This window comes from Homo sapiens, chromosome 11 (assembly GCF_000001405.40).
Source record: "Homo sapiens chromosome 11, GRCh38.p14 Primary Assembly".
Classification (NCBI taxonomy): domain Eukaryota; kingdom Metazoa; phylum Chordata; class Mammalia; order Primates; family Hominidae; genus Homo; species Homo sapiens.
This window is the reverse complement of record NC_000011.10, coordinates 101,846,631-101,856,796: the sequence shown is the minus strand read 5'-3', so window position 1 is coordinate 101,856,796 and position 10,166 is coordinate 101,846,631.

Below are 10,166 nucleotides of genomic sequence, written 5' to 3'. Positions count from 1 at the left end.
ATTTTGTATCCTGAGACTTTGCTGAAGTTGCTTATCAGCTTAAGGAGATTTTGGGCTGAGACAGTGGGGTTTTCTAGATATCCAATCATGTCATCTTCAAACAGGGACAATTTGACTTCCTCTTTTCCTAATTGAATACCCTTTATTTCCTTCTCCTGCCTAATTGCCCTGGCCAGAACTTCCAACACTATGTTGAATAGGAGTGGTGAGAGAGGGCATCCCTGTCTTGTGCCAGTTTTCAAAGGGAATGCTTCCAGTTTTTGCCCATTCAGTATGATATTGGCTGTGGGTTTGTCATAGATAGCTCTTATTATTTTGAGATACGTCCCATCAATACCTAATTTATTGAGAGTTTTTAGCATGAAGCGTTGTTGAATTTTGTCAAGGCCTTTTCTGCATCTATTGAGATAATCATGTGGTTTTGGTCTTTGGTTCTGTTTATATGCTGGGTTACGTTTATTGATTTGCGTATATTGAACCAGCTTTGCATCCCAGGGATGAAGCCCACTTGATCATGGTGGATAAGCTTTTTGATGTGCTGCTGGATTCTGTTTGCCAGTATTTTATTGAGGATTTTTGCATCAATATTCATCAAGGATATTGGTCTAAAATTCTCTTTTTTGGTTGTGTCTCTGCCTGGCTTTGGTATCAGGATGATGCTGGCCTCATAAAATGAGTTAGGGAGGATTCCCTCTTTTTCTATTGATTGAAATAGTTTCAGAAGGAATGGTACCAGTTCCTCCTTGTACCTCTGGTAGAATTCAGCTGTGAATCCATCTGGTCCTGGACTCTTTTTGGTTGGTAAGCTATTGATTATTGCCACAATTTCAGATCCTGTTATTGGTCTATTCAGAGATTCAACTTCTTCCTTGTTTAGTCTTGGGAGGGTGTATGTGTTGAGGAATTTATCCATTTCTTCTAGATTTTCTAGTTTATTTGTGTAGAGGTGTTCGTAGTATTCTCTGATGGTAGTTTGTATTTCTGTGGGATTGGTGGTGATATCCCCTTTATCATTTTTTATTGCGTCTATTTGATTCTTCTCTCTTTTCTTCTTTATTAGTCTTGCTAGTGGTATATCAATTTTGTTGATCCTTTCAAAAAACCAGCTCCTGGATTCATTGATTTTTTTGAAGGGTTTTTTGTGTCTCTATTTCCTTCAGTTCTGCTCTGATCTTAGTTATTTCTTGCCTTCTGCTAGCTTTTGAATGTGTTTGCTCTTGCTTTTCTAGTTCTTTTAATTGTGATGTTAGGGTGTTAATTTTGGATCCTTCCTGCTTTCTCTTGTGGGCATTTAGTGCTATAAATTTCCCTCTACACACTGCTTTGAATGTGTCCCAGAGATTCTGGTATGTTGTGTCTTTGTTCTTGTTGGTATCAAAGAACATCTTTATTTCTGCCTTCATTTCCTTATGTAGCCATTAGTCATTCAGGAGCAGGTTGTTCAGTTTCCATGTAGTTGAGCAGTTTTGAGTGAGTTTCTTAATCCTGAGTTCTAGTTTGATTTCACTGTCGTCTGAGAGACAGTTTGTTATAATTTCTGTTCTTTTACATTTGCTGAGGAGAGCTTTACTTCCAACTATGTGGTCAATTTTGGAATAGGTGTGGTGTGGTGCTGAAAAAAATGTATATTCTGTTGATTTGGGGTGAAGAGTTCTGTAGATGTCTATTAGGTCCGCTTGGTGCAGAGCTGAGTTCAATTCCTGGATATCCTTGTGAACTTTCTGTCTCGTTGATCTGTGTAATATTGACAGTGGGGTGTTAAAATCTCCCATTATTATTGTGTGGGAGTCTAAGTGTCTTTGTAGGTCACTCAGGACTTGCTTTATGAATCTGGCTGCTCCTGTACTGGGTGCATATATATGTAGGATAGTTAGCTCTTCTTGTTGAATTGATCCCTTTACCATTATGTAATGGCCTTCTTTGTCTCTTTTGATCTTTGTTGGTTTAAAGTCTGTTTTATCAGAGACTAGGATTGCAACCCCTGCCTTTTTTTGTTTTCCATTTGCTTGGTAGATCTTCCTCCATCCTTTTATTTTGAGCCTATGTGTGTCTCTGCACGTCAGATGGGTTTCCTGAATACAGCACAGTGATGGGTCTTGACTCTTTATTCAATTTGCCAGTCTGTGTCTTTTAATTGGAGCATTTAGTCCATTTACATTTAAAGTTAATATTTTTACTTGTGAATTTGATCCTGTCATTATGATGTTAGCTGGTTATTTTGCTCGTTAGTTGATGCAGTTTCTTCCTAGCCTCGATAGTCTTTACAATTTGGCATGATTTTGCAGTGGCTGGTACTGGTTGTTCCTTTCCATGTTTAGTGCTTCCTTCAGGACCTTTTTTAGGGCAGGCCTGGTGGTGACAAAATCTCTTAGCATTTGCTTGTCTGTAAAGTATTTTATTTCTCCTTCACTTATGAAGCTTAGTTTGGCTGGATATGAAATTCTGGGTTGAAAATTCTTTTCTTTAAGAATGTTGAATATTGGCCCCTACTCTCTTCTGGCTTGTAGAGTTTCTGCTGAGAGATCCCCTGTTAGTCTGATGTGCTTCCCTTTGTGGGTAACCCGACCTTTCTCTCTGGCTGCCCTTAACATTTTTTCCTTCATTTCAACTTTGGTGAATCTGACAATTATGTGTCTTGGAGTTGCTCTTCTTGAGGAGTATCTTTGTGGCGTTCTCTATATTTCCTGAATCTGGATGTTGGCCTGCCTTGCTAGATTGGGGGAGTTCTCCTGGATAATATCTTGCAGAGTGTTTTCCAACTTGGTTCCATTCTCCCCGTCATTTTCAGGTACACCAATCAGACGTAGATTTGGTCTTTTCACATAGTCCCATACTACTTGGAGGCTTTATTCGTTTCTTTTTATTCTTTTTTCTCTAAACTTCCCTTCTCACTTCATTTCATTCATTTCAACTTTCATCACTGATACCCTTTCTTCCACTTGATCGCATCGGCTCCTGAGGCTTCTGCATTATTCACATAGTTCTCGAGCCTTGGCTTTCAGCTCCATCAGCTCCTTTAAGCACTTCTCTGTATTGGTTATCCTAGTTATACATTCGTCTAAATGTTTTTCAAAGTTTTTAACTTCTTTGCCTTTGGTTTGAATTTCCTCCTGTAGCTCAGAGTAGTCTGATCATCTGAAGCCTTCTTCTCTCAACTTGTCAAAGTCATTCTCCGTCCAGCTTTGTTCCATTGCTGGTGAGGAACTGTATTCCTTTGGAGGAGGAGAGGTACTCTGCTTTTTAGAGTTTTCAGTTTTTCTGCTCTGTTTTTTCCCCATCTTTGTGGTTTTATCTACTTTTGGTCTTTGATGATGGTGATGTACAGATGGGTTTTTGGTGTGGATGTCCTTTCTGTTTGTTAGTTTTCCTTCTAACAGACAGGACCCTCAGCTGCAGGTCTGTCGGAGTTTGCTAGAGGTCCACTCCAGACCCTGTTTGCCTTGGTATCAGCAGCAGTGGCTGCAGAACAGCGGATTTTCGTGAACCGCAAATGCTGCTGTCTGATCGTTCCTCTGGAAGTTTTGTCTCAGAGGAGTACCCGGCCGTGTGAGGTATCAGTCTGCCCCTACTAGGGGTGCCTCCCAGTTAGGCTGCTCGGGGGTCAGGGGTCAGGGACCCACTTGAGGAGGCAGTCTGCCTGTTCTCAGATCTCCACCTGCGTGCTGGGAGAACCACTGCTCTCTTCAAAGTTGTCAGGCAGGGACATTTAAGTCTGCAGAGGTTACTGCTGTCTTTTTGTTTGTCTGTGCCCTGCCCCCAAGAGGTGGAGCCTACAGAGGCAGGCAGGCCTGCTTGAGCTGTGGTGGGCTCCACCCAGTTCGAGCTTCCTGGCTGCTTTGTTTACCTAATTAATCCTGGGCAATGGCGGGCACCCCTCCCCCAGTCTCAGTGCCACCTTGCAGTTTGATCTCAGACTGCTGTGCTAGCAATCAGCGAGACTCCGTGGGCGTAGGACCCCCTGAGCCAGGTGTGGGATATAACCTCCTGGTGTGCCATTTTTTAAGCCCGTCGGAAAAGCGCAGTATTAGCGTGGAAGTGACCCGATTTTCCAGGTGCAGTCTGTCACCCCTTTCTTTGACTAGGAACGGGAACTCCCTGACCCCTTGTGCTTCTCGAGTGAGGTAATGCCTTGCCCTGCTTCAGCTCGCGCACGGTGTGCTGCACCCACTGTCCTGCGCCCACTGTCTGGCACTCCCTAGTGAGATGAACCCGGTACCTCAGATGGAAATGCAGAAATCACCCGTCTTCTGCGTCGCTCATGCTGAGAGCTGTAGACCGGAGCTGTTCCTATTCGGGCATCTTGGCTCGCTAGTTCCTCCCAGTGGTCATTTTCCAGTCCTCAAATGTATAATTGGTTTTGCCATACTTGGTGGTTGGTAGAACACCCTCCTTGGATTCACAGCCTGTTGGGGAAAGCTATTATTGTGGAAAGGTCAAGAGGAAGCACCTGAAATCACCCTATGCAATACCAGCCATGATGGTAAATGAAAAGCAAAATCACATATTACAAGGGGACAGGGAATAGTGGAGATGAATGTCACTGTTGAAGATCTAAAGGATGTAGAAGTGGTAGCCATATCATAGATCTTTTCAATTTACCACTCTGGCCTCTGCAGAAACCATATGGATCTGGGAGGGTAACTATAACTAACTACTACAAGCTTGACCACGTACTAGCCCCAGTTGCAGCTGTCATGTCAGGTATGGTATTTATGCTAGGCTAGATTAATATGGCTGCTATCCCAATGAGAAAAGAGGATCAGAAACAGTTATCACTGAGTAGACAAAAATACAGATTTATGGTTTTCTCCAGGCTATGTTAACTTTTTCTCCCTCAGTCTTCTCATAGTCCAAAGAGATCTGGATCATCTAGACATCCTGGAAAAATCATGTGCTAAAGTATCATGTTGATGACAGTTATGTTGATCAGTGCTGCAGACTGAAGGTTTGTGTCCCACCAAATTCATATATTGAAATCCCGACCCTTAATGTGATGGTATTAGCAAGTGGGGGCTTTGGCAAGTGATGAGATCATGAAGGCAAATACCTCATGGATGGGATTAGTACTCTTATAAAAGAGACCCTGAGAGCTTGATTCTTTTACCATTTGGGGACACTGAAAAGATGGCTGTCTGTAACTGTAAAGAGGGCCCTCACCAGAACTGGATCATGCTGGCACCCTGATTTTGCACTTCTCGCCTCCAGAATTGTAAGAAATAAGTTTCTGTTTATAAGCCACCCAGTTTGTAGTAATTTGTTACAGCAGCCTAAACTAAGACAATTAGGTGGAATGAACAAGAGGTGGGTAGCATACAGGAGGCCTTTATAAGACACACACACCTCAGAGGCTGGGAGATAAACCCTATGAGGATTCAGGGACTTGTCACATTCATGAAGTTTTAGGAGTCCAGTGGTCAATGGTATTCTGGGACATTCCCTCCAAAGTAAAAGATAAATTATTGCAGCTTCCACCTTCTACCACAAGGAAGAAAGTCCAATATCTGGTGGGCCCCTTGATCAGACAGTAGAAGAGGTAGGGAGCAGGCCTGAAGAGGCCATGTGTCATTTTCCAGGGAGGATCCATATGCATTGTCTTTTAGCATAAGGCAGTAATAGTTGAATGATCGGCTTAAAAAAGGGGGTGGGGAAAATGTACATTATGTAGCAAAATAATCTCATCATAGTGTCAAGTATCTAGAATATCTTAATCTTCGAAGCCATCAGTCTCTTTTTCTGAGTGCTAATTTGGACTTATCAGTTACCTTAATGAGGAGAAAGCATTAGGGAGTAATATGCCTCAATGAGGAGAAAGCATTAGGGAATAATATGCCTCAATTTAACCTACAAATGGACATTGTTTATAATTTTAGCTAATATTAATCTGTTACCATGTATTCACCATGGTTCCACAGAGAAACACAACTGGTAGGAGATTAAAATACATAATAATACATAACATACTAAATATATAATACATTGAAATACATAATGCCCATTTGCCCCTCCACCCTTTTTTTATGAGAGACAGAGATTTTTAAGGAATTGGCTTGTGTGCTTTTGGAGGCTGGCAAGTCCAAAATCTACAGCGTGGAAATTTAGGGGACAGTTAATGCTGGAGTTTGAGTCCAAAAGCAGTCTGCTGGCAGAATTCCCTTTTTCTGGGGGAGATAAGTCTTTTTCTTTTTATAATATATACATATATATTTTATTTATTTTTGAGATGGAGTCTTGCTCTGTTGCCGAGGCTGGAGTGCAGTTGTGGGATCTCGGCTCACTGCAACCTCCGCCTCCCGGGTTCAATAAATTCTCCTGCCTCAGCCTCCTGAGTAGCTGGGATTACAGGTGCCCGCCACCACGTCTGGCTAATTTTTGTATTTTTGTTAGAGACGGGGTTTCACCATGTTGGTCAGGCTGGTCTCGAACATCTGACCTCATGATCCGCCTGCCTCGGCCTCCCAAAGTGCTGGAATTACAGGCAGGAGCCACCGCGCCTAGCCTACATATATATTTTAACTGGACAGATAAATTATATGTATTCATCATGTACAACATGAAATTTTGAAGTATATATAAATTGTGGAGTGGTTAAATCTAGCAAATTAACAAATATATTACCTTACATAGTTACCATTTTTGTGGTGAGAACACCTAACATTCACTCTCTTTGCATTTTTCAAGAACTGTATATGTTGTCATTAACTATAGTTACCATGCTGTGCAATGCTCTTGAACTTATTCCTCCTATCTAACTATAATTAATAATGTATCCTTTGACCAATATTGCCCCAATTCTCCTTCCCCAACAACCACCCCAGCCTGTTAACCACAACTCTACTCTCTAATTCTATGAGATCAACTTTTTTAGATTACACATATTTTCTATGAAGGCCTTCAACTGATTGGATGAGACCTGCCCACATTATAGAGGGTAATCTCTTTTACTCAGTCTATTGATTTCAATATTAATCTCATTTAAGGTATACCTTTACACAAATTTCTAGAATAATGATTGACTAAATAACTAGGTACCATGGCCTAGCCATGTTGACATATAAAATTAACCATCACATCACAAAACATAGTTATCTTCCTTAGTCTGGACAACCCCTTCATTTTACAGATGAGAAAACATAGAAATGAAGTGACCTGCATCAGGCTCCGTGGCAAGATATTGACCAACTGGCACTCTTAACTCCTTCCATGATACCGTAATCTACAGATTCCCATATGGGAACATCTGGAATGTAAACATGTTCACTTTCTGCAGTTGAGTTACTTTCCTACTTTATAACGTTACTTATAGTACACATGTAGGTTCCCAACACAGGACTAACAATAGTCACAACAGACATAAAAACAAAAACCCACAATTTGTGAAATAATGGAATTCTTAGCTCACAGCCTATTTGAGGCTTTCTCTTCATCTAATTTATGGTAATACCTAGGAATATTAGCTATCCATATTTATATCAATCAACATTTGTGAATTTTGTTGTTGAACATATACTTAAAAACTGGCCATAAACACCAGCAGCTGCCCATGTGTCATTTCTAAGGTCAATAAATTATAAAGTAATACTGGTGACATTCAGTAGGTGATGTAGTCTATTTGAGTGTCTCTGTATCAGTAGCAATGCTTAAGTGCCTTGTTACATGTTGTCCTACTTTTTGGAAGGTGAGAGAGTTGTCCAACCTTTTTGAAAGGTGAAACACATGTTGGTCTCTTCCATAGGTTCTGCATATTGCTTCCATGGGAACAGAAGTACAACCACAGCCAGAGTGGTAGAATAATGATCTACATTTTTCTATACAAGTCCTAATCTTCCTCCTAATGTATCTATGTATATGTGTATCTAGGTACATGAATACATATGATTTTGCTTCTCCCTGCCTTTCTGTTTTGACACCAGTTGTATTTAAGTGAGCATTGTACTTTTAAAAGTGAAATGCTCACTTAAATATGAGTCGTGGCAAAACAGAAGCTCATCTGCTTTCTCTACTTCAATGCCTTTGTTAAAGAATAATCTCTACTCTGGTTCCTGACAACCTTAGCTTTAGTGATGTGGCTAAGTGTCCTATATCCTTAGACCTGAGGATGACAGTGGGCCAAACTCTGCATGTAAATGAGCGCTCCTCACAATCCTGTTTGTGTATTTCCCCAAAGCATATTTTATGATATGCCTTACCTATGTTCCAGATTTGTATGATGGTTCAATGTTTTTCTAAGGTTTTAAATTTTAAAGTGAAACATATTTATTGAAAACAATAGCAAAGAGTTAAGTTTAAAACAAAGTATGACATAGTTACATGAAATTCTCAAAATGTCCACCAGCAGGTGGCAATATAATCCTAAATATTACTGGTAATAAAAAATTACATTTATAGACGATGAAAATAATATTAAATCCATAGATTAAATTCAGTTTTACGCATATGATTTTTCTAGATGAAGAATTTTCTTTTTATGTCCACTTAAAAGCCATAAACTTCATTCATTTCATGACTTTAAAAATATATAGTAACATTAGAATACATCTTTAATAATAAAATCAAACTCAATTATATATATTGATTCTGAATTTATGAGAATTCATAAATTCTCCCATGTTCAGGCCATTTCAATTAAATAAGAATCTGAGGGTTCAATCTAGGTATTGGCAATTTTTTTTCTTCAATTTTAATGTTAAGTTCAGGGATACATGTGCAGGATGTGCAGATTTGTTACATAGGTAAACGTGTGGCATGGTGGTTTGCTGCACAGATGGTATTGGTAATTTTTAAAGCTCCTAGTGTGATTTTTAATCTGAAGCTAGGGTTAAAAGTCACTGGTTTAGATCAGTTCTTCTTAGTTGACCTCAGTGCACCTGGGCCGTTGTTGGCTTTCTTACCTCTCCAGTTGATGCTGACACACACTAAAGTTTGAGAATGGCTATATGCAAATATTGTTTATTTCAAAGGTTCAAAATACCTGCACTTAAATGTCTGGTCTTTATTCATTAGGAAAGTCCTTCTAAAATCAGGTGCTTTCCCCAACTAATTAAAAAATCGTAGACACTTTTGCAACTAGCTGCTAATGTTTGGATCTGAACACTTCTCTAACTTAAAGCACTAATATATATGTTATTAAATTATATTGTTTCGTTCTATAACATATATCATAAATTAAGCTTGTATACATGTATACAAAATGAAGTTAGTGAAAAGATTAATTTCTTCAAATATTCTGTAATTTTACTGAAATTTAGTTGGGTTTGTTTTTCACGTGTGGGACTAATTAAAGACTACCAAGGAGCTCATCTTAGTTTGGTTAACTTACAAAATAAAATCCAGAAATAGATGGAAATACCTTAGAGTAGAGATTTGCATGTTTTACTGTCTATTAGAATCATCTGGGAAGCTTTTAAAACTCCCAGGTACAGGCCACACTCATTTCAATGAAATAAGAATCTGAGGGTTTGATCTAGGTATTGATAATTTTTAAAGCTCCCAGTGTGATTCTAATCTGAATCTAGGGTTAAGAACTACTGGTTTAGATCAGTTCTTTTTAAAGGTGTAGGTCCATATACACCACCTGAAAATCTTGTTCACGTACGGATTTTCATTCAGTAGGATTGGGGCAGGTTCTGAGATCCTGTGTTTCTAACTACCTCCCAAGGTGATGATGCTGCTTAGCTCTTTTAAGTCAGTGGTTCTCAAAATTTTGTGTGTATCAGAATCACTTGTGAAAATCGGTAAAAAGTGGGGTCACACCTCAGTCAACTTCAATGTGCCTGGCCATTGTTGGCTTCATTACCTCTCCAGTTGATGCTGACACACACTAAAGTTTGAGAGTGACTGCTTTAAGACAGCTAGAATTCTTTAGTTTAGCAGTCCTGAAGATTGCACTTGAGCAGTTAGTTTCTCTGATAATAACATTAACGTTGGCTGGCAAGTTGTTTATCCTGGTTTGATGCTCTTTCCACTGGTTAGAAGGACCATCCACCTCCTCTAGTTGTAGAAATTCTATCTGCCTTTAAGGCCTGACACTAGTCAATTTGTCTAAGAAGTCTTTTTGATAATCATCTCAAATAGATTTGAACTCTCATCCACCTGTGGACGCCTGCATAGGCTCCTGTAGCACTTTTCTCTTCCATTAGTGTTAAAATTAAAACCAGAAGCCGAATTTT